Raw genomic sequence first — 25,091 nt, 5'->3', positions numbered from 1 at the left:
CTGCCTTTATGCCACACAGCCTTGAAAGGGAGGGGACTGTGTCAGGGTAGTCCAGTGAATCACCCTGTCTCATTGATGAGTGTAAGAAAGTAGAGGCTCTGGTCAACCTGGACTTAAACTTTCCATTGTGCTTCTCAGGGGATACAGCTGTAGCCTGCCAGACTGGCATTTTCCCTAACAGCTTTCAAATGTCACATTCCACTATAACATACTCACACACAGAAGCTGTTCTTTCTTTGTCTTCATTTTGAGAACACTCAGAAAAGTTTTTATATTTTGGAAAGACCCCTTTCATTCCCCACCCTTGAGTTTTCTGCCTTCAGGACGTTAGTTCTTGAAGACAACTCCCCAGAGCACTAGTGGAAAGATGCTGGCAGCTCCTCCAATCACATGAACCTCACATGTTCTGACGCAGCTCAGTCATGCATTCTGTGCTGGAGCTGCATGATGTTTGATTAGGCAGGCAGGATGCTGGCAAACCCAGTGCCTTTTCAAACTTTAACTTAGTACACTTTTCTTGTAGTTTCTCTTTAGATTCTCATAAAAACACAGGTGAAAGTTTGTACTTGACATAGGGAAAAAACACAAGTTGTGCATCTAAAAATTCTGCCCCAGAAACATTATATCTGCCATTTATGTGACCTTTTGATTTATAATAAGCAGATGCTGAAATTCTAAAATTTCAAAATATTTTTAAAGAATTGCTTAAAGATTTTTTTTGAATTTAAAATGTTTATTTTTTAAGCTTTTCAAATACAAGAAGAATATAAAGAAAAAAATTACCCATAATCTCATGACATTGACAAAGATAGCCACTGTTATTGCCATTCTAATTTTATAGTTGAGAAAACAAAGGAGAGGAAGAAAGGAAAGAAAATGAGCTTTTAGGGTTTTTTTTCTCAACTTTAAGAAAAAAACTCCTTAGAGGGATCCCCCAAAATTTTGTAAACAATTGACAGATATTCATATTCCTAATAACACATATTGCCAGGAGTACCATTGCTGTTTCTGAACACCATGATGTTTCTTCAGTAAGCTCTACAGAGATCTCATTTCCATGTCACAGAGGAAAACTACTTAAAATAACATTTTATGAAAGTTACTATACTACGTTACAAAACATCTTGTAAAACAGAGAAAAGAAGGAAATTACATACAACCCCAACACTTTAACAAAATCTTATTCATATTTTAGCATACTTCCTTCTGTCCTTTTTTCCCATTCTAAATTTTTTTTAACTTTTATTTTAAGTTCAGGGGTACATGTGCAGGATGTGCAGGTTTGTTACATAGGTAAACGTGTGCCATAGTGGTTTGCTGCACAGATCATCCCATTACCTAATGCCCAGCGTCCATTGGCTATTTTTCCTGATGGTCTCCCTCCTCCTACCCCCGCTTCTGACAGGCCCCAGTGTGTTTTGTTCCCCCCATGTGCTCATGTGTTCCATCATTCAGTTCCCACTTGTAAGTGAGAACATGCAGTGTTTGGTTTTCTGTTCCTGTGTTAGTTTGCTGAGGAGAATGGCTTTCAACTCCATCCATGTCTCTGCAAAGGACATGATCTTGTTCCTTTTTATGGCTGCATAGTATTCCATGGTATATATACACTACATTTTCTTTATCCAGTCTATCACTGATGGGCATTTAGGTTGATTTTATGTCTTTACTATTGTGAATAGTACTGCAGTGAACATACGTGTGCATGTATCTTTATAATAGAAGGATTTGTATTCCTTTGGGTATATACCCAGTAATGGGGTTGCTGAGTCAAATGGTATTTCTGCTGGGTCAAATGGTGTTCTTGTTGACACCACCAGGTCTTATCTCAAAGGTCTAGAAAATTGATTCTGTGAGTAAACTCAGAATTAGACTAAAAAACTGGATCATACTAACCAAACTCCTAAGGGACTTTTCTATTATAAGAAATGCCATTGACATGCATATCAGAAGTTGCTTTAAAAAGTCTATTCCTATAGAAAACCCTATATAAGAAGTCAAATTATACTCAGGTTTCTCAGTAAGCATAGACCATAGATGGGGTGAAGGATGGTGGTGGTGGCTAGAATGATTTTAATGACTAGTGTCAACAAGCTACATGACTGATGCACTCACATAGGAGGAATAGATCTGACAGGTGGTAGGAACATGTGGGCTGGATGGACAGAGACCCTTCTCCATTGGACATGCTGGAGATTCACTAAATATTTTTCCATATTGGCCTCTCTTGCCTCGACTCCATGCACACTGCTTTCAATTCAATTCCATGATAATTGTTAAGTATCTTCTATGTGCGAATCCTTGTACTGGGTTCTGGGACTATAAAAATGAATAAAATACCAGGTCCTCCTCCTAATACCTCAAAGGCTGTTGGAGAAAACTGAACACATATGTAATTATAAAATACTATATAATGAAGGCTTGACTGGTACAGGTGTAGGATATTTGGCCTGATGTCATGTCTGGCTTGCAAAATCTTAAGATCTAGCTTTGCCACTTACTAGCTGTGTGATGTGAGCAATTTATCTAACTTCACTGGGCCTTAGTTTGCTTACATGTTGATACGGTTTGGATTTGTGTCCCCGCCCAAATCTCATGTCGAATTGTGATGCCCAGTGTTGGAGGAGGGGCCTGGTGGGAGGTGATTGGATCATGGGAGTGGAATTTCCCTTTTCTGTTCTCATGATAATGAGTGAGTTCTTATGAGATCTGGTTGTTTAAAAGTGTGTAGCACCTCCCCCTGCTCTCCCTCTTCCTTTCTCAGGCCATGTAAGACCTGCCTGCTTCTCCTGCACCTTCTGCCATGATTGTAAGTTTCCTGAGGCTTCCCCAGCCTTGCTTCCTGTATAGCCTGTGGAACTGTGAGTCAATAAAATCTCTTTTCTTTATAAATTACCCAGTCTTAGGTAGTTCTTTATAGCAATGCAAGAACGGACTAATACACGTGTAAAATAGACAAGACAATACACTAAGTTATGAAGTTTAAATGAGATCATACATGTGAAGCTATTAGAGCAATGTCTGGTGCATGGTATGGAGATTAGCTATAATGGCAAACTTAATTAAACCTCATTTTGGATACCAGCAATGAGACATTGGCAATCTAATGTTTCAAACCCAGCACAAGGAGGAACATGTAGTCCAAACCCTGCCCAGCACTTTAAAACAGACATATCCCATGACAGGCTGTAAATACATTATCAGGAAAGACAACGCACTGAAAATATATTTTGTCTGAAATTTAGAAATATGTCCCCCAGGGGTGTTATATGATAGTGATATTTTTCTTATAATAGACACCTAACACCTTCTGCTATACCTTCTAGTAGAAGTCCACAGATGCATTTGGGCAATTGCAACATCTTAGCACAAAAGATGTCACTTTGATTCACTCTCCACTTTCAGTTCATGTGGTCTGGGTGGAGCTCCAGATGTAAGATATCACTTACATACTCTTTCTTTCAGTGACTGGTTCTGGAGAGGGCACAGCACATAAGTTTTCCACTGTAAATCTCAGGATTTTGCTGAGAATGCTGAGAAAAATACTCTGGCTTTTTTTTCTTGTAAAATATTTGAATCTGAAAGGTTTAATAATCATTGGCATCCATCTTGTAATTATGAGGAGATATCTTGTCTGAGAATGGCATCAACAAAAAGGAAACAGAGTGAAGAAATGATAGAGACAATTTGAATCCTGAAGACATTTGTTAGACCCCCTATACCCAGTTGCACATTTGGCTGCTCAGTTACATAAGCCAACACATTATCTTTTAAAAATTTAAGCCAGTTTGCATCAGGTTTTCTCTCATTTGCAGCCAATGAATTTTGATACAACTTCTACAAAATGTACTTAAAGGCCCGGGTGCGGTGGCTCACGCCTGTAATCCCAGCACTTTGGGAGGCTGAGGTGGGCAGATCACGAGGTCAGGAGATTGAGACCATCCTGGCTAACACGGTGAAACCCCGTCTCTACTAAAAATACAAAAAATTAGCCGGGCATGGCGGCGCACACCTGTAGTCCTAGCTACTTGGGAGGCTGAGGCGGGAGAATGGCATGAACCTGGGAGGCGGAGCTAGTAGTGAGCCGAGATCTTGCCACTGCACTCCAGCCTGGGCGACAGAGTGAGACTCCGTCTCAAAAATAAATAAATAAATAAATAAATAAATAAATAAATAAATAAATAAATAAGTTTATTTTGTCCTATGCTCATGGTCAAAGCAGATGCCCAATTTTTATTTTTCTCATAAAACCAATCAACAAATATACATTGGGCCCTTGTTACAGGGTCAGATGCCACAGAGTTTAAGACAATTCCTTGTGCTACAATCTAATTGGAATTTATAGTCTCTTTATTTTTTATCTCTTAATGGATATGTCTCCACTTCATCCAGATAGATTTTGATTGAGGAGTGAGTTGGTTATGTACCTCCTGTTCTCAACTCTAAGTCCATCCTCCTCTCCTCTGCTCTGATGTGCCAGGGCTGGAATTTTGACAAACTTCATTTGCCAGCCTCCCTTGCCAGCTAGCTTCCTGTTAAGTTCAGTAAATGGGAAGGCCTTGGGGACTGGAAGGTGGGAGGGGGAATTATTTCCTGTTTCTAGTTCCTGAATGTGTCATGCCTGTAGCAATAGGTAGTAGAAAGGTAGCTGCTGTCTGTAGTTCTAATATTTGGCATCCACTTTTTTGCTCTTTCAGTCTTCTTATATCTTTATTACAAGTTCCTAATATTAAATACACTCTATTTTTATGACTGGACTCTGGCTGATACTAGCACTTGATACTAGGTGTGGTCATAGGAAACAGATTCTCAAATTCTGACATTCTGGGATTGATTTGATTTGTTGTTAGTGTTGGATTGGTTTGAATTGAGAGCTGAACTCTTTGCCACTAGTAATCTATGGCATGCATTGACATCATGGTTGATTAAATTATCATCTGTTCTTGCTAGGGTTGAATACCAATGAAAGGCAAGTTTCTGGAGGCCAAGTAGCTGTTGCATTTAACCATTATGGTAGTAAAGATGATTATAAGGAATGTAATGTGGGATGGCTGCTTCTGATTGCACCAGGGTGCTTACAGGAAGAAACTAACAAGTTTAGGGCTTTCACCTCAAATCATATTCAGAGCACCAGAGGGCTTCTAAGACTGCCCTGAAAGTACCTCTTATTCCTTCTAATTACAGGAATCACTAGACATGAAAGACATGACTGAAAAATTCAACCCAAATCAATCATTCACAGACTGGCTAAGTCTCATATGTGAAAGTTTTCTCAGTAATTTGAAAGGAGTAGGACTCTGAGACTAGGAATGGGGACATTTTGGTGGATTTGGATGAAACTGAGAATGTTGAAACCCCCAAGCATCCCTGAGTTTCCCTTGATAGTGGAAGAAGCCTCTCATTTCTTGTCTAATGATATTAGCCTTTCCTTGTTTGAAAGCCTGTAATAAGCCCATATGAGGCACTTGCCTTGCAAGGGAGATCCCTATTCTTTCTCAGCCCCAGTGCTCCCAACTCTCATGGCCTTTATTTAGAGTCAGTTCCCGGAATATACGGAGGTGGGAAGAGCAGAGTCTAGCTCAGCAGGAAAAGTCTTATACTTCAAAAGAATCATAAGATTTTGTTAACTTAACATTAGAGGAAACCAGGCTAGTATGTATGGGGATGAATTCTAAAGGTATTAGACCCAGGAGCACAGAAGATAACATTGAACTGGGGCCAAATTAAGGTAGTCCTGATATACTACACTTTCCAGATAGTTTTGGACTTAATGTTGTAGATGATTACAGTAGTGGTATCACGCCTTCATGTAATTCCTTTACACATTGATTTTTGGCATGGTTATGTGCTTGCTTTGGATAATGGAACATTATTAGCAAATGTGATACAAACAGAGACTTGGAAAGCACTTGCACATTGGGGTTTTCTTTCTTTTTTGCTGTTTTTGGATTAGACTCTATGTTGAAGATGCCTGGACTAACCTACTGAAGATACGTGGTTTTACCAACAGCCAGCACCAATAGGAAGATATGAATGAAGCCATCTGAGACCAGCCATCTGGCAGCCAAACTGCCAACTGACTGCAAATGCATGAATGATCCCACTGACACCACGTAGAGCACAAATGAGTTGCCTCCACTGAGCCCAGCCCAAATTGTTATCCTATAAAATCATAAAAACATAAACAGTTGTTTTAAGTCACTAAGTTTTGGATAGTTTGTTATACAACAAAAGCTAGCTGAAACAAATGTATTAGCTAGAGCAGCTGTGAATGGCACTATTTGCTTAGTTGATTGGCTGAAATTTGGACTCACTGGTAGGTTACATTTAATGGTGTTGAGTTGCCAGAATTTCTCTGGAATAATGTATAGGAAGGATTCTAATGGCCTAAGCCATTAGAATCTCTAAGGAGATAGAAATAAAGGAGTGATTTATTATATGTAACTGTGCCTCTTCCCTCACCACACTTGGTCCTGAAAGAGCCTAAGGAATAGTTTCTTCTCTAAAGCATTGAAAAATGCTTTAATGGGAGAAGCCCCAGCACCCTTGAACATGTTCAGGCAGCTGCTTTCTATAGGCCAAGGATGTGGTGGGAAAATCTGCCTGATCTCAATGTAGATGATGAGATCCCAGAGTAGCGATCAGCATTTTTTACCAGCAGGAATAATCTTTGGTGGTGGTTGGCTCTAAGAATTAAATAGATGTGGGCCGGGCGTGGTGGCTCATGCTTGAAATCCCAGCACTTTGGGAGGCTGAGGTGGGTGGATCACCCAAGGTTGGGAGTTCAAGACCAGCCTGACCAACATGGAGAAACCCCGCCTCTACTAAAAATACAAAATTATTTTTGTATGGTGGCACATGCCTGTAATCCTAGCTACTCAGGAGGCTGAGGCAGGAGAATCGCTTGAACCCGGGAGGCGGAGGTTGCAGTGAGCTGAGATTGTGCCATTGCACTCCAGCCTGGGCAACAAGAGTGAAACTCCGTCACACACACACACAAAAAAAGAATTAAATAGATAATAGATGTGTAGCCTGCCAAAGCATTACTTGATCTGTATAATAGAAACCAGACCTGAGGTAACACATGCATGGTGATATGTGCCTATAGTCCCAGCTACTCAGGAAGCTGAGGTGGGAGAATCACTTGAGCCTGGGAGGTCAAGGCTACAGTGAGCCATGATTGTACCACTGCACTCCAGCCTGGGAGACAGAGTGAGACCCTGTCTCAAAATAAAATAAAATAATAAAATAAAATAAAATAAAATAAATAGTTTTTAAAGATTTTGGCTTAAAAGGGTTACAAATTTTCTAAAGTCACATAATATATAAAAACAAATCTGGATAATACTGAATTGTTCTGCTCATCTATAATATTATTTTATGAAGTAAGTTTCAATATAAACTTGAAAGAAAACTGACACAATTTTTTTAAAAAATAGACATAATTTGTTAATTAAACTCCATGCATAATTATTAAGGAGGAAAGCATTCATGTTTCTTGGATGTTTCTTATATGCTACATGCTTATTTTCATTTAATTCTCACAATAATTCTGTGAGAGAGGTGTTATTGTTAGGATATCTGTAAATAGATGAAGACATTGAGGCTTTAAAAAGTTGATCTTTTAAAAAATTGAATTATTAAGGAAAGATTATACAACTAGAGAATGAGTGGGGAAGGGAGAAACATTTAAACAAACTCCAAAATAACAACGTACACAGCAATAACCAGGTTTTATAAGCAAACTTGAGGGTAATCCAAGATATGAAAACTTAAATTACCATAAAGTACCATTTTTTAACCTATTGACTTAGCAAAATTATATTTTAAAATATCCAGTGCTGGAAGGATGCACTGGTACCAATGCCAACAGATCCTTTTCAAAAGCAAATTGACAGTATGACTCAAGAGCCTGAAGTGTTCACATTCTTTGACTCCATAATTCCCTTTTCAGGTATCCATCCTAATGAAATTAGATGTAAAAAGACATGCATTATCTGAAATAGCATGATATATCAGTTAGGACACTGAACTGTATAATTTGAGGACTAATTAAAGAGACTCTTTGTAGAGATGTGGGCCAGGTGTAGGGAACTCTAAGGAATAGTGCAGTACCCAAAGGCTAGCAGGAACAGGTGTGTGTGTGTGTGTGTGTGTGTTTGCACATGTGTGTGTGTGTTGCAGGGGGTGAGGGGACACGTAGGCACCCAGACATGAAAAGGGGACTGGAGAGAGCAGTTACTGGAACCCACAGGCAGATGGAGCCATGTGGAAAGGGTCATTCAACAAGAGCTGTGACCTTTAGTTGAGAGAATTATCCAGCCAGCAGTGACCCTGGAGACGGAGAGCCTGGGGAATAAATACCCCAGCAATACTCTTCTCCCATCCTCTGATCTCCTGCCAGGGTCCCCATTGGCTGAACCCAATCAAAAGCCAGAGAGCAATGGAGCCCATTGATACAGTCCATACAAGTCAGCTTCATAGGACCCAAAGCAGGGAGGACAAGGCTGGAGAGTGGATCTGGAGGGTCAAATGGAGGATATCCAGCACAAAAGCTTGTAACTAAAGTGGCAAAAAAACCAGAAACAACGGTAATCTTACATTAATAGGGGAACAGTTAATTAAATTTTGTCACAGCCACTCAGTAGAATATTATGCAGCCAGTAAAAGTGATAATTAGGAACACTTGTCAGCAACATAAGTGTGAGCTTATGGTAGATGACAATTTTTTTTTTTTTTTTTGAGATGGAGTTTCGCTCTTGTCACCCAGGCTGGAGTGCAATGGTGCTGTCTCGGCTCACTGCAACCTCCGCCTCCTGGGTTCAAGCCATTATCCTGCTTCAGCCTCCTGAGTAGCTGGGATTATAGGCATGCACCACCATGCCCAGCTAATTTTGTATTTTTAGTAGAGACGGGGTTTCTCCATGTTGGTCAAGCTGGTCTTGAACTCCCCACCTCAGGTGATCCGCCCGCCTCGGCCTCCCAAGGTGCTGGGATTACAGGCGTGAGCGACTGTGCCCAGCCCCAAATTTTTTAAAGTATAGAAAATTACATGTTGCAACCATAGCCAAACTTAAATACATAAATGGACAAAGAGCAGAAACAAACAGCAAACATGAAAGTGTTTGTGCTTGGATGATGAGATCATAGGTGATTTTTGTTTGTTTGGTCTTTCTCAATTCCTCAAACTCTCCTGAATGCTATTTTTGCTCCTTTTGTAAAAAGTACTTTTTTTTCCAGACTTAGAATTCATCTAAGTCTTTTAAGCATTGTCATTATATATGTTTTAGCCCATTATATCCAGGCCATAAAAAGTAAAGGTGTTGGCTGGGTGCGGTGGTTCACGCCTGTAATCCTAGCACTTTGGGAGGCTGAGGCGGGCGGATCACCTGAGGTCGGGAGTTTGAGACCACCCTGACCAACATGGAGAAACCCCACCTCTACTAAAAATACAAAATTAGCTGGGCGTGGTGGTGCATGCCTGTAATCCCAGCTACTCAGGAGTCTGAGGCAGGAGAATCACTTGAACCTGGTGGGGGGCGGAGGTTGCTGTGGGCCAAGATTGTGCCATTGCACTCCAGCCTGGGCAACAAGAGCAAAAGTCCATCTCAAAAAAAAAAAAAAAAAGTAGAAGTCTTAATAGTAGCCATTCTCCCAATACATAATGAGTCTCAGAGGTGACCATGCATGAGGTACCTATCACGTACCAGGTACATGGCAAAAATCTCACTCCTTCCCTGCTCTCTAGGAGTCTAAGGGGATGACAAAACCTGTGCTCAAAATCCTCATGATAAACTGAGAAAGATAACTGCTTTCTTTATCTTTTCTTTTCTTTTTTTTCTTTTTTTTTTTTTTGAGACAGAGTCTTGCCCTGTTGCCCAGGCTAGAGTGCAGTAGCATGACCTCAGCTCACTGCAACTGCAACCTCTGCCTCCCGGGTCCACATGATTCTCCTGCCTCAGCCTCCTGAGTAGCTGGAATTACAGGCACCCGCCGCCACTCTTGGCTAATTTTTGTATTTTTAGTAGAGACAGGGTTTCACCATCTTCGCCAGACTGGTCTTGAACTCCTGACCTCATGATCCACCCGCCTTGGCCTCCCAAAGTGTTAGGATTACAGGTGTGAGCCACTGCACCCGGCCCCTTTAAATTTTTTTTATTTTTATTTTTTAAATTTTTTGCAGAGATGGGGTATCACTATATCACTATATCTATTTATATATATATATATATATATATGCATTTTTTGTTGTTGTTTTTGTTTTTGTTTTTTTTTTGAGACAAAGTCTGGCTGTGTCGCCCAGGCTGGAGTGCAGTGGTGTGATCTCGGCTCACTGCAACCACCACCTCCTAGATTCAAGCGATTCTCCTGCCTCAGTCTCCTGAGTAGCTGTGATTACAGGTGCGTGCCACCATCCCCAGCTAATTTTTGTATTTTTAGTAAAGATGGGATTTCACCATGTTGGCCAGGGTGGTCTCGAACTTCTGGCTTTAAGTGATTCACCCACCTTGACCTCCCAAAGTTCTAGGATTACAGGCATGAGCCACCACGCCTGGCCAGGTCTCACTATATTGAAGTAAACTGATGCGTAGAGGTCAACCAATATATTCAGAGTTGTATAACTCATACCTAGTTGAGCTGGGGTTTGAATCTCTGATGCCAGAACCCACACGCCACCTACACTCCTATAGCACTTCCCTGGAAAAGAGTGAAATTAATTATTATTATTAAATTCTGGGATACATGTGCTGAACCTGCAGGTTTGTTACATAGGTATACATGTGCCATGGTGGTTTGCTGAATCTATCAACATGTCATCTAGGTATTTGTCCTAATGCTCTTCTCTGCTTTCCCCCAACCCCCTCAACAGGCCCTGGTGGGTGATGTTCCCCTCCTTGTGTCCATGTGTTCTCATTGTTCAACTCCTACATATGAGTGAGAACATGTGGTGTTTGGTTTTCTGTTCCTGTGTTAGTTTGCTGAGGATTATGGTTTCCAGCTTCATCCGTGTCCCTGCAAAGGACATGAACTCATTCTTTTTTTATGGCTGCATAGTATTCCATGCTGTATATGTGCCACCTTTTCTTTATCCAGTCTATCATTGATGGGCATTTGGGTTGGTTCCAAGTTTTTGCTATTGTGAATAGTGCTGCAATAAACATACGTGTGCATGTGTCTTTATAGTAGAATGATTTATAATCCTTTGGGTATATACTCAGTAATGTGATTGCTGGGTCAAATGGTATTTCTGGTTCTAGACCCTTGAGAAATCACCACACTGTCTTCCACAAGGGTTGAACTAATTTACACTCCCACCAACAGTGTAAAAGTGTTCCTATTTCTCTGCACCCTCGCCAGCATCTGTTGTTTCTGAAATTAATTATTGACCAGCAAAGAGACCACACAGTATAAAAATACCACTTTAAACCCCATGTGGTAGGAAATCAGGGCACATTATGGTGTGTAACAAAAAATATAGGTTTGTTGCTCTAATTCCATCCCTTTCAAACTGAACAAGCAGCCTTAACCAAATTACTTAACCTCTCTGTGCCTTTCCTTATCTGTAAAATGGAGTAATTAATAGTGTCTTTTTCAGAGAGTTTGGGGATGATTTGTTCCAATAGTATGTGTAAAATGCTTAACAATATTGGGCAATAGCAAGTACTTGATAAATGTTAGGTGTTAAGATAGCATGCTGTAGTATAGAAAATTTCTGAAGCTAAGACACATTGCCTTATGATTTTCTCCCCTGACAGAACCCAGATTTCAGGATACTACAGCTAGATTGCTCTCTCCCTATTTGGTAATCTAAAAGATAGCCCCAATCTAGGAACAAAGATGGGAATATTTTGACAGAAGCCATTATGCCACTGGGTTCCTAACAGAGTTAAACAAAACTCCCCAAGCATTCAACATGCCAATCACATATCTGGGGCATGGGTGGGGGTAGGGGCAGCATAGGTGGGCTTCTTCCAGGGAAGAAGGCCTTGTCTCCTGCCCTGCTCTCTGTGGTGTTAGGAAGTGCTCCTCCTCCAGCAGGAGCCCCAGATCAAGCATCCCTAGGACCCAACCCTGCTGAAAAGTACATCCAAGTTTGCCTCAAAGGCCTTCAAATCTTTGGGAGCCAAATGGCGTAATAGGATATTAAACTTACTGACTTGCAAGACCCTGAGCAAACCTCTTACCCAAAAGTAGAATATATAAAGAACGTTGAAGAATAACAATTGAGTTTTATTCTTTAAAGGCATTCTCTGATTTACATGAGAATTGAGAAACTGAGATGTATGATTTGTCTGTTAGTCAATTTCACACCCTTTCATTCTCATAAGCCCCAAATTTTGCTCAGTTAAGGAGCTTGCTTTAGGCCCACCTATGTAAGTCTGTTATACTAGCTAATGTGCCCATTTGAATAGTTCAAGGGTCAGCTAATGCTCTGAGCTTCATGGCTCCAGTATAAAGAACAAATTTAACAAAATTAAGCTGTTACTGTAGCCGAGTTACCCTTCTGCTCCACACATATGTAGTGGGATCTTGCAGGATTTCCATAGTGCCAATTATCAAAGGCCTTGACTACTTAGCATTGCTGTATTACAGATGTGCAAACTGAGGCACTGAAAAGTCAAATTTAAAGTCATATTGAGGGCCAGAAAAGGAGGCTTAGTTTGGGGCTTTGGCCATTTTAGCTACTTATCTGAAATTGCTGCAGATACAACGTATGAGCATATCAAATATTTTTGACTGTATATAATTGATTTCTAAGGTAAAAACAAATAAAAAGAAACCAATAATTTTTAAAGGAAAGATGTAGTTCAAAAAAAAAACCACCATTAAACATGGTGCCATTACAGGTTAAAACAAATGCTTTGTGACTTAGACCTCAAAAACAGAGCTTGATGACTTTACTCCACAATTTGTGCACTTAGTGTATATTTAAATGCTCTCTGTTAATTAGAACAACTTCATTATGCTATCAAGATTCCAGTAATCCATAAAACATGTCAATTATGATTTGAGTTTGTGCGAAGCCCTGTCTGTGAGCTCATAGTCTCAATAGCCTCTTCTAGTACCCAGAGGAAGCTATAGATAAAAAATAACTCTATTGGCAACCCATCTGTTTCTGTTACTGGAAATTTCCACACACCTCTGCTTTTGGAAATCACTTAGAAAACTTGAGGGGAAATAATTCCTTTTGCTTTCAGTCTGGCAGCAAGAAGGATCCTGAAGGAATTCTGTGGGTCCAGGATCCAGTGGGGTAATTCTGTAAAGTGCAGTAGTGCTTGCTTAAAGCCATAGGCTCCAGAGGTGAGTCCAGATCAGTGAAGGGGCAAGTTTCATGGCCAGGTGTTGGCTAGTCTTGTTGCAGGTTTCAGATTAAAGTGCTGGGTCATCCAAAGGCATTTGAAAAGTGCAAATGGCAAGCTCTGCAGGCCACCGAATTCTTGTTCAGAGTCCAGAAGCTTCTTTAGATGTCATATCAGGTCACCCTGGCTCCCAAGACCACAGGTTCAGATCTGGGGAGAAAAGCCCACAAATAAGAAAAATCATTTTTTATGATTAGAAAATATATAACCTCCCCAAAATTTGAGTGAGGAACTAATTTTTTTAAAAAAGTTCATCTAGCTGGAAGCCGCATGGTTTAAAACTTTTCATTTAAAACTTCTTTCCACAGTTTTTACCATTGCCCTAGTCCAAGTCTTCAGCTTCTCTCCTCAGACCTATTGCAAGAGCTGTTCCTCTTCCATTCTTTGGGCCACACATAGTTCAGTAATATTGGAGCACATTTCAGGGGCCTCTCCTATTCAAAACCTCTTATAGTTCCCTATTGTGTCAGATATTTCTATTAATTCCTGCAGACTCATTATTCACCCTGCTGCACTCTATTCATGCTCCAGGATGATGACATTGCAGACTGCATCACTGGGCTCCTCCCTCTGTCTTTGACTGGGCTCAGTCTAGGGGAAAAAGAGTGTTGCAGTGGGTTGAGAGAGAGGTTGGGGTATCTATTCCTCAGCAACCTCCCAGACAAGTTGTGGGTTGACTTTGTCCCTCTGTTAAAGACCATAGGTCCTGCCAGATGGACCTTTCTCATTGCCATTTTTACTAGGGTTCTGGGAACTGCTCCCTCCCCTTTCTCCTTCAGACCTAGGAATAGTCACCTTCCCTGCCTGCTCTTGCATCCTGGCATGCTCAGTATCCCTTGCTGGTTTCCCTTAATGCTGCACACACCTTTATAAATTAAACTTGCCTCAGTTACCTCTTCTAAGCATACCCTCCATTTCCTGCTAGGATCTAACTGAAGCACTCTTGCTTAGTAAGTAAAATCTAACTTTTGCCTGGAATTAGTGGTTTACAATACATGCCCTAACAGTCTTTCCCCCTTATCTCACACCTGGCTTTCTCTCTGAACGGGGTCACGTGCACTTTCCCACACCTTCCTGCCTCTCTGCCTTTCCTGTTAGTGTCTCCTCTATCTAGAAGAGTTTGCTGTTTCCATTTCTTCCTGATTCAAAAGTCACCTTCTCCATGAAAACTTTCTTCTTCCCTGATTATCCCCAGCTTAAAGTGATATTTGTCCCCATCTCTGAACTTTCATGTATTGTTTGTCCCTCTTATATGAGCCATAGAGAACCATAAAAAATACACAGACTTTTCACACCATTAAAAATTCATGGGCACAGGTGAGTGAAGCTGTTAGTGACTCCTCTTGCTAATAGCACTCTCCTCCCTCCCTGAGACAACTGTGCTGCCTGAAGAAAGAAAGTGTGAAGTTGCCTGACATGGGTTGGGTATTTCTGAGGATTGATGGTAAGGTGGGCTTCAGGACATAGGGATAATTTGAGAGCTACATGATTTTCCAAATATGTTCCAAGAAGCACAAGGTATCTTAGAGCAGTGGTCCCCAACATTTTTGGCACCAGGGACTGGTTTCAGGGAAGACAATTTTTCCATGGATTGGGTGTGGGAGTGGGGGTAGGCTATAGTTTCAGGATGAACCTGTTCCACCTCAGATCGTCAGACATTAGATTTTCATAAGGAGCACACAACCTAGATCCCTCATATGTGCAGTTCACAATAGGATTCACGCTTCTATGAGAATCTAATGCTGCTGCTGATCTCACAGGAGGTAGAGCTCAGGTAGTAGTGCCCGCTTGTCTCCCGCTCACCTCCTGCTGTGTGGCTCAGTTCCTAACAGGCCACTGGTACCGGTCTGCGGCCCAGAGGTTGGGGACCCCTGCCTTAGAGGCCTTTGTAGGGACAAATATGATATGGACAAATAGCCTATATGATAGGGTGATTATGTCCTCCACTCTAATTTCACCACTATTTTAATTTGCTTGACATGTAGGAGTTCTGTCTAATATTTCCTTTGCGAAAGGTTTATAGTGCCAAAAGAAAAAGAAATTGGAAACCACTGAAATGGGAAAGGGGAAAGGAAACACACCCATGTGGAATGCTGACGCTGTGGTCAGTTCTCAGGTGGAAGTTCTTAGAAGGAAGTCGGGATACTCATGAAAACAAACAAAACAAAACAAAAAACGTAAAGACTGGACCAAAAGTATATAGAAAGCTGGCTTCTTTTTGTTTTAACCCAAATTATGTGAATGAGAACTGTTTCTTGAGTACCTTATCGGTAATACTTAATTGTAAGAATCTTGGATGACTGATAAATTCATCCTTCTAGTTCCCACATGGCCTAACTGACAGGGTCTTGCAAATAACAGAAACTTAATACAGGTTTGTGAGTGGGTGAATGAATGAATAAATGAGTGAGTAGCACTATGCTGGGAATCATGACTTCTTTTGGTCTGCTACTGTTTCACTTAAGGAAGTCACTTAATATCTCTTAGCCCCCAATGTCATAATCTGTGAAATGAGGTAGCTAGGATACATGGTCTGTAAACTCTAACCAAGGCTTGATGACTGTAATAACTATTTTGTAAAGGATAGATGATATATATCTATGGTATCATAATCCACTCCTAAAGTTTTACTGTTTATCTGCTTGTCTGCATAAGAGGGAGAATGGCTAGGCCCAAATAGTAGCACAGATAAAGTTAGATACAAGAACAACTTCCACAAATGGAAAGGGCAGTGTGTCACAGACAAGGACTCAGTGGGTCTGAGTTCTAGCTCCATTTCTAACAGTAAGTTATGATATGACCTTATGCAAGTCACTTCAGCTCTTATATCCTTAGAGCATATCCATCACATTTAGCTGTGCTAGGAGTCTTTGAAAGGCAACTAAGACATTGGTAGGTGTCCTTTAAAGAAGGTATAGCATCGCCCTTCCTAAACTTGATAAGGACTGATGAAGAGTCCTATATAATGTATTTGGTTACTGGGATCTAGAGAGGTGAGTGGGGATGGTTGAAATGGCTTCAGAAAGTATTCTTCTTCTTTTTGAAAGTAATACATCAGGGCACTCAAAAATGTAGTGAAGTACAACAAAAATTCAGAAAACATAAAAGTAAAAAGCAATACTTGATTCCATAATCCAAAAACATGATTACAGGCATTTTCATATTTTTACTTCTGTTTTTCTGGAGGAAGGGAATATGGTGAGTCTATAAATAACATTTTTAATAGGACATGAATGATACATAAGTATATTTTTATTTTGCAATTTTCTATTTTTTTATTATATAGAAAGTATTTCCCCACATTATTATTCCTCAGAACTAGAAGTTTAAATGGCAACGTAGGGTCTATTTATTATAGGTTCCAGTTTTTTCCATGTTGTATTAGAGTAAACTAGGTAATGCTGTAGGAACAAACAACTCCAAAATCTCAATATAAAAAACAAAAGCTTATTCTTGTTCATGTTCCATGTACATTGAGGGTCAGCAGGGGACTCTGTCAATTTTAGTCACTCAGAGACTGAGACTGATGGAGCAATTACTACCTAGAATGTTACTGGTTACCATGCCAGATGGATAAAGAAAATATGGCAAAGCATATGCCAACTCTTACATCTTCTACCCAGAAATAACACGCATCACTTATGCTTACATTTAATTGACCAAAGCGAGTTACATGACCACACTTAACTACAAATTAATCACAGAGAAGTGCAATTCTATCATGTGCACAAAGGCAAGAGATCCAGGAAATGGTGAAACAGCGCTAATACTGAACTCTATTAGGCATTTTCACAAGTCAGGTCTTGCTTCAGTTGCTGGTTAGTGAAGCAAAACCAGCAAGCCCTGTGCTTCTTAAGTTGGAAGGGAAAATATTCATCTGAATAAAAGTCTTGTAAGAAGTACATGCAAGGGACATGTCCAGGCTAAGTCCCAAGACTCCATCTCCCAAGATGCCGAGTCACAAAATGAGAGTGCGGGATGGCTCCCGGGCAGCCTAGAGCTGTACACTCTCCTCATAATGGATGGTTTTGGGATGAGATAGAACTGGGATGGCAGAGAATGGGTGTGGGAATGTCAAAGCCCTGAGCTGTCTGGGCCTGAGCAATATTAAAATCTTAACCATGGCAATTTCTAGGCAATGGATTCTAAATTATTTTTGTTTTCTTTATACTTTTTTATTTTTTATTTTTATACTCATAAAATCAGTAATTTAAAAAATGTTCTGAAACTTGTTATTGTTGTACGTTATTCTTTTTTGAGTTGATAGACTCAACTAAAATTAAACAAAATTTATTTTAATATTGTTTTTTAGTATTTAGTCAAATTTGGTCAAAATCAGACACCTTTTAAATTTATTATATAATAAACTATAAGAAACATTGATAAACGGACAGAAAGACAAATATCAAATACCATATAGTTGCATTAACACTAATATCCCACTTTATTATATTGACCAGGTGGACCTAAAATATAGACACATAGAAGCAGCCAGAAAATAACGCTGTAATCATGTGCTTAAGAGTGGTATAGATTGTGTGTACAATGCAGAGGAAAAATAAAAAGGTATGAGTGGGGGAGAGAGTCTTACAGATTAAGCAAGAGAGTGTTGTGTATGTAGGCTGGGCACAGTGGCTTACGCCTGGAATCCCAGCACTTTGGGAGGCCAAGGCAGGAGGATTGCTTGAGCCGAGGAGTTTGAGACCATCCTGGGCAACATAGTGAGACCCCAGTTCTACAAAAAATAAAAATAAAAAATCCAGGTACGGTGGCATGCACCTGTAGTCCCAGCTACTCAGGAGGCTGAGGTGGGAAGATAGCTTGAGTCCAAAAGTTGAGGCTGCAGTGAGCCACGGTCATACCACTGCACTCCAACCTGGGTGATAGAGCAAGACTCTGTCTCTAAAAAAAAATTGAATTAAATTTTAAAAAAGCAGAGTGTAGTGTATGGGTGTGGATTCTGGACTTGGACACCTGGATTGCTGAATCAATTTATTGGCCCTTATATTATTAGCTATATACCTTGGGCAAGTTAGTTAACCTCTTCATGTTTTTCTTCCTCACCTATAAAATGGGAAGCAGGGAGTAAGTACTTCAGAGGGCTACTGTGAGGATTAAATGAGCTAGTCTAAACACACTTCTAATGTCTTAGAACAGAAGCCTGGTGTTATAATAATAAAGTTACTCATTACTGTATCTTAAAGTAGACCATGCCAAAAGTTGGGATTGGGACAAGTAAGAAGGAATAGGGAGGACACTCCAAAAAAATAACCAACATGAGCAAAGCCACAGAAGTGGGAATGAGCTCATGGCAGTGGTGTTGGTGGAGCAGCTCAACTTGAGGAAAAGTTTTGTTGAAGAGTGGTAGATGAGTTGGCTTAGTGAAATGTGGCTAGTTGTCAAAAGGCCTGAAAAACTCTGGGAAGGATTTGATATGATCTATAGAGACAAGAGATGACATGATGATGATGAAAACAGTGTTTGGGGGGATTAGATCTGGCAGTGGTATGCTGGTGCCTCTTTAAGGGACCTTTCCAAAGCTATCTAGAAATATTTAAATTCCTCATTAGGTATTGGTAAAGAAAATAAGATATTAGATAAGTCAAACCTACCTCAAGTAGTCTCTTCATTGTACCAAGGCATCATTTCCAAAATTTTGGTTTGATTTTGTTAAATCATTTTGGCTACAGGGTGCCCCCACTCCCCACCTAGATTTACTCAGATATTCATTGCTATTGCATCCAAATACTTAGAGTGGTAGATTCTGATATCACAGATGTCCTTTTGTTGCTGAAAGTTTGAGAGGCAGTGAGCTGAGAAAAATCCTGCTGAACTAAACAAAAACCCAAAACTGGTAGTCTGCATGCAATCTAGGTTGGCATGTTCATGCATGAACAGGTATTAGACAGAACCCTGGCCTCTTGGACAACTCCAATGACCAAATAGTAGTTGGTTACTTACTTCTGTTTATAAAGGCTCATGCAGGAATGACAAATTGACTTACTTCAGCCAAATATATGGCCAAGACTGCCCCCCTCATCTCTTGGTGCCTGTGATGATTAATTTTATGTGTCATCTTGGCTATGGTGCTCAGTTGCTTAGTCAAATGCTAGTCTATATGTTGCTGTGAAAGTATTTTGTAGATGTAATTATCATTTGCTATCAGTTAACTTGAAGTAAAGCTGATTATCTCCCATGATGTAGGTTGGCTTCATTCAATCAGTTGAGGGCCTTAAGAGCAAAAAACTGAGGTTTCCCAGAAAAGATGGAATTCTGCCTCAAGACTGTAAGGTAGAAATCCTGCCTGGGTTTCCAGACTGCTGGCCTGCCCTACACATTTCAAACTTGCCAGCCCCCACAATCATGTGCTGCTTCCCCTGAGTCTAAGCTTTTCATCCAACCAGGCTTAATGATTTTAGTAACCCACTTCTTCTGACCCCTAGATCATATCCTTCCTCCTCCACAGATTCCAGCTCCAAACCTGTCAACCTCATGAAGAGACTTGTGTTTTTCCCATATTACTCTTGACTCAGAGCCCACAACAATGTACTTCTTAATCATTGTTTGTTGCAAAAACATCCATTGTCAATTGCATCGCAGTTGAATATCTTCTCTTTGCTGTTCGATTTTAACTCTGTTTCTAACTATGTGAGACCAGAGGTCCAGTGCAGTATCATCTAGGAGTGCTTAGGAATATAGACCGAGCAAAAGATGGCATGATTGTTCTGGGGCTAAGAACGAGGCTTCGCTGAAATGCTACCAAACAGGAAGATTCTATAAGCTGGAACTATTCAGTTGCCTTCCATGAATTAATAGAACAGTGGTTACTTTAAAATTCAAGCTGAGAGAGAAAAGAAAGTAAGAAAGAAAAGTAAAAATCATGCTTACTCACAGCACTGTTCACTTCCCTCTTTGTTGTGGTGACAGGTCTTTTTGTTGTGTCTGAAAAGGAAAAATTCCAGAAATGGAATAAGATTAATGAGAAAACTGTTTGGCTTATAGATTAAAATATGGCAGGACAAAAAGTAAATCTAAATAAATCCACATAGCGAAGCCCAAATGTTCACTGTGGCCTGGGACTTCGGATGGTAATGCATAAAGCAAAATCTGGCCCCTAGGCAAAGAGTGTGAACAAAGAAGTCTCACACTTTCCATTCCTCTGTCTACTCCTGGCCCTCAGGCACTTAAAGGCTGAGGGACTAATTTGGGTATTCAATCCAGGAAATGTCTGGCTGCAGAATTAGCTCTCCCTTTTCTGCTTTAGTCTTGACTGCTACTTCTGCCTGCCTTCCCTGGTCCAGGTCAGAATGTCTGATCAATTAATTTTGCACTAAGGTATAAGTGACTGATACTGGCTCAAAGTAACTCAAGTTACTGGTTCAGAAGCACAAGTTCACATAATGGGATGCTGCTCACCAGTAAGTTTCCTTGATTTCACATCTTTCTTTTAATTTTTTTTTTATATCAATAGGTTTAGGGGTACAGGTGGTTTTTGGTTACATGGATGAATTGTATACTGGTGAAGTCTGAATTTTAGTGCACCCGTCACCCAAATAGTGTACATTGAACTCAATATGCAGCTTTTTTATTCCTCACTGCCACTCCCTACTCTCTCCTTCTGAGTCTCCCATGCCCATTATACCACTCTGTATGCCTTTGCATATCCATAGCTTAGCTCCCACTTACAAGTGAGAATATATGGTATTTGGTTTTCCATTCCTGAGTTACTTCACTTGGAATAATGACCTCCAGTTCCATCCAAGTTGTTGCAAAACACATTATCTCATTCTTTTTCATGGCTGAGTAGTATTCCATGGTGTATATATACCACATTTTCTTTATCCACTTATTCGTCAATGGGATCTTAGGTTGGTTTCATATCTTTGCAATCATGAATAGGTTTTCACTTTTTTCTTAACCTCTGATTTCACATATTCCCTCCCACTCTGATTCTCTTTTAGGATTTAATGCCCAACTCCTGCCATTGCCTGGGTTCCTGAAATCAGTCCATTCCTAATTCTGCTTTTGCCCTATATACCAGGTTTTTAGTAATTCCCTCATGACTATCCTGAGCTTGGCCTGGAATTTGGAGGTCTCTATTCAGCACTGTAGTCTCTTTCATGAGGGTTTGCATTTGAAAGGAGCCCAATGGTTAACCCATAGGAATTGCTCTTGAATGTTGGCTTCAGTGGGTACCTCATTTATGCCTGAGGTTAGTGCTGCCATTCTCTGTGGGCCACAGGTAACCATAAACCAGCATATTTGGTCTTTAAACCTCTGTAAAATTCTGGCTCAATCTTCTAGGGCTGTGCCACTTAGAGTCTGGTTCATGGGCTGGTGCTGGTAGGTGAACTGTTACCAGCCTATGATGATAACTGTTCCTTCACAAGAGAGTTTAAGAAACACTGTTCTGAAGATCTGAAGACATGTTCTAAAGATCTAGATTCTGTAGCTGGTGACTTCTGCTGGATTCTAACTTGACTTTGCCATTGGCTCAGCAAGTCAATGTATAAGTCACTCAATTATTTTGGATTGAAACTTACTTTCTCCTTCCATTGTTCAAAGATAATAATATTGACTGAACCAATTTGTATTAAGCACTTTTGCAACAAATAGGCCACAAGTTTTGGAGTCAAACAGACCTGTATTCAAATCCCAGCTGTATGACTTTGGGAAGTCATATAACTTTTCTGAGCCTCACTTTCTTAACTCCAGCATAAAGACACTTCTCCTTGCCACAAGCAATTTTTGTGAAATTAAATGAGAAGTTTGTAAAGGGTCTAGCACAGTGGTTTTCAGTAGAACTTTCTGCAATGATGGAAATGTTGTATATCTGTACTGTCCAATACAGGAGCAATTATCTGTACATGGCTATTGAGCACTTACAGTGTGTGAATACTTAAGATGTGACTGATGAATTTTTATTTAACTTAAAAAGAGCCACAGATGGCTATTATATTGGACAGAGCAGATCTAGCATACTCACCTGCATATAGTAGGTTCAATGTTTAAAATTTCATTGAACATTTATTATATGCCAGGTAATTTTTTAGACACTGGGCATATATTGGTGAATCAGAGAAACACAGTTACTGTATTCTTGAAACGTAAAGACAAGCAGATGAAGCAGAATTTAACATTATTTTGCAACAGAAGTTGCCAGCTTCTTCTCTAGAGCCCAGCAGGTCACCCTCGAGCCCCAAACTGTTGAATGGTTCCTCTTAGGGGAAAATGGTAAGCAGGACCTTTTATGGACCAATAATGGCTGCCCTCCCAATACACTTTAGTACACAGAGCTAGTCACTGAGGTATAGGTGGGTAAATCTGTTCAGGAGCTAAGAAGCCATCTGGAAGGAAAGGGACCAAGCCTGCTGCTTCTTTACTTAACTTTGCAATGGACTAAGAAATTCAGGATACCAATGGCCCTAAGAGGAACTGAAGAGAAGGAAGTTAGGACTGGCGTCCCAGGCTCAACATGAGGGCCTAGAAGGGAAGAGGCTGGCTGTGTGCAGCTGTGGCTAAGGCAGGGACCTCCTCCTACCTCATCAACCCATAGGGGTCCTGCTTTGGGACCAATGACAGAGCATGTGTTGGGGAACCATAAGAACTGTAATCTTGTAGCACTGTGGTCTGTGTGGGGATCGGAACCAGCAAGGTTACCTTTGCACAGTGGATGGAGACATCTGGAAGGACCAGAGATTCTGCATGGCCGGAGTAGACAGCAACTGCTCAAAACCAGGGCCCTCTGGAGGACTAACCTAGCTGCCTAGCACTGGCCCTGTGGGCTAAGTAAGCTTTCTGGCAGTTTGTGGGAGGTGGAGAAGTACATGCTATAAGAGGGAGACACTGAACTTCTTGCTAAGATGGGCATGTGGGTACTTGAGGAATCAATTGGAAAATTAAAAGGGATGCAATTTAATTGGTAGTCCAAGCTATTAAAACAGATCCTAGACATGTGATTGTGTGCTGAGTATACTGAAAGAAGAAGTAGGTGCTATGGAAACATATAATAAGGGGATTTAATGTAATGGGTGTGGTGCGTGGAGGTAGAATTAGGAAAGACTTGATGAAGTATAAGCTTAGCTGAGATTTAAAAGATGACTCCAACTCAGGTGGACAACAAGAAAAAATATTTTAAGAAGAGACAATATTGTATGAGAAAACTCGGAATTGAAAGACTGCCATGCCTCTGAGGACTAGAAAATCCTGTGTGGTTAGAGCTTTAGACAATGAAGGTGATGGTGATGCAGTTAAAGCTGGAGACATGAGTCAAACCATCCTGGGCTCGTTGGAACTTCATCCAGTGAGCAATAAGAAGCCATGGAGAAGGTCTGGACAGAGGACACATGGTAGATTTATGATTTTTAAAAGCCTATTATAGCAAAAAGTGAGAACAGACCAAGTTGGAGGTAGCAGGAGTGAATACAGGGAAACCAGTTAGGAAGATTTCTCTGTAGTCCAAGTTGAACCACACTAGCGGCAGTGAAGTTCGGCCAATAAGCTGTAAAATGTTCCTTCTCTTGCTGCTTCCCCTTTTACAGATAGAAAGACCATCTCAAAGAAGATAGGCAATTTGTACAAGGTCAGAAAGCCAACAAATGGCAGCACAAGGTCCCAGCCTAGCCCTCTGACCCTGGTTTAAAGCTCTGTCTGCATCACCAGCAGTTCTCAACCCTTTTCCATGGCACACAAGTTTGTGTGCATGGCAGACACATGTAAGAAAGCAGATCTGAATGCAAGTGAGTTGGAGACAAGGGTTATATAGGCAACCATGATTTCTCTCTGGTTCATTAAAAATATAAAAGAAATTGTTTGCACATTTATTCACTTAATTCTTATTTGTAAGAAAGGTCTCCTAATCACAGTTAGAACTTGAGCTTTACCTCCCAGCTCGGAGCTACTGATATCCTCACTCACTCTTAAGATTGGGGTGAAGGATGAGGAGAGGATTTATTTCCACTCTATCTTTGAGTGTGACTCCATTCCATTCTCCCAAAGACAGCTGGAACGGAACACTCAGCTGCTCATTTCTGAAGTTATTAAGGAGTCCTCAGGCCCCAGGCCTTGAACCCTGAGGTATGGGTGTGAGAGGTAAAAGAAGAATGGCAGAAGATAAGACAACTGAGGTGCACCTGACACAACTCTCTGAAGTGGTTCTATTTAAAAGTCGAAGTTCTGTTGGACATACCTCCTCCTTTACCATGAAGCTCCCTTCCCTCCCACATTTATTTTTCTTTCTATCTTTCTTCTTCTCCATCTCCTGTTTTCTCTTTCTCCCTCACTCCCCTGGCCATCTTCTTCCCTCCCTCTGTCTTTTTCTTTTGGCAACAATTCCTTGCATTCTACAGTTAGAAATATTGTGGTCAGCACCCAAGTGAATACATACACACATAGGGCAATGGACAAATAGAACATGACAATATTTTATGGCAGATGAAAATATAGAAGTTATGAGTATAAATGTAAGATAACAACCACTTAAAATTCCCCTAGTCCTCAGATAGTGCTGCTGCAAACTCCTACTGAATTATTTCCACATGTCATTTCTCTTTCTATAGATGAGGCCATGTATAGATCTTTGGAGAAGTTCATTGAGTGCAGACAAGGGAGCCGTTTAGGAAAGCACCAGCTAGGCCTGCATACATTCTGGGGGTTTTGTGGGCAGGCTCCACCCAGGAAACCAAAGACAGACACATGAACAATGAAGCAATGAAATCAGGGCTGAAAGGCTTC

At 40.6% G+C, this 25,091-nt stretch overlaps 1 protein-coding gene and 1 long non-coding RNA gene across 8 annotated transcripts in view, besides 2 other annotated features; one reads left to right on the top strand and one right to left on the bottom strand.

The window, feature by feature from the left end:
• INCR1 (interferon stimulated noncoding RNA 1) overlaps positions 1-25,091 on the top strand; it is a 172,297-nt gene that overhangs the window by 46,266 nt on the left and 100,940 nt on the right. For 5 of the 6 annotated variants that reach the window (XR_007061403.1, XR_007061404.1, XR_007061407.1 and 2 more), the window contains one exon: positions 5,951-6,202. The exons of the other annotated variant lie outside the window; for it this stretch is intronic. This is a non-coding gene — a long non-coding RNA (interferon stimulated noncoding RNA 1). Of the gene's footprint in view, positions 1-5,950; positions 6,203-25,091 lie in introns of those variants that run through there. 6 annotated transcript variants of the gene reach the window in all.
• Positions 12,180-25,091, bottom strand: part of PDCD1LG2 (programmed cell death 1 ligand 2) — a 60,752-nt gene continuing 47,840 nt past the window's right edge. The window contains exons 6-7 of one of the 2 annotated variants that reach the window (XM_005251600.4): positions 20,247-20,300; positions 12,180-13,508 (exon numbers count right to left, since the gene is read on the bottom strand). In XM_005251600.4, the coding sequence (XP_005251657.1) occupies positions 13,477-13,508; positions 20,247-20,300 (86 nt within the window). In that variant the 3' untranslated portion in view covers positions 12,180-13,476. The remainder of the gene's footprint in view (positions 13,509-20,246; positions 20,301-25,091) is intronic. The other variant, NM_025239.4, reaches the window with a different exon arrangement.
• Positions 13,827-13,916: an enhancer, noted in NCBI's record as "active region_28171". NCBI's record gives its function as "activates an Ori minimal core promoter by ATAC-STARR-seq in GM12878 lymphoblastoid cells {active_cell/tissue: GM12878}" and the evidence as "EXISTENCE:reporter gene assay evidence [ECO:0000049][PMID:35858748]".
• Positions 20,199-20,298: a silencer, noted in NCBI's record as "silent region_19753". NCBI's record gives its function as "represses an Ori minimal core promoter by ATAC-STARR-seq in GM12878 lymphoblastoid cells {active_cell/tissue: GM12878}" and the evidence as "EXISTENCE:reporter gene assay evidence [ECO:0000049][PMID:35858748]".

Source organism: Homo sapiens, chromosome 9, assembly GCF_000001405.40.
Source record: "Homo sapiens chromosome 9, GRCh38.p14 Primary Assembly".
NCBI lineage: Eukaryota > Metazoa > Chordata > Mammalia > Primates > Hominidae > Homo > Homo sapiens.
Note: the sequence above shows the minus strand (reverse complement) of the source record. Positions and strands in the feature narration are given on the sequence as shown.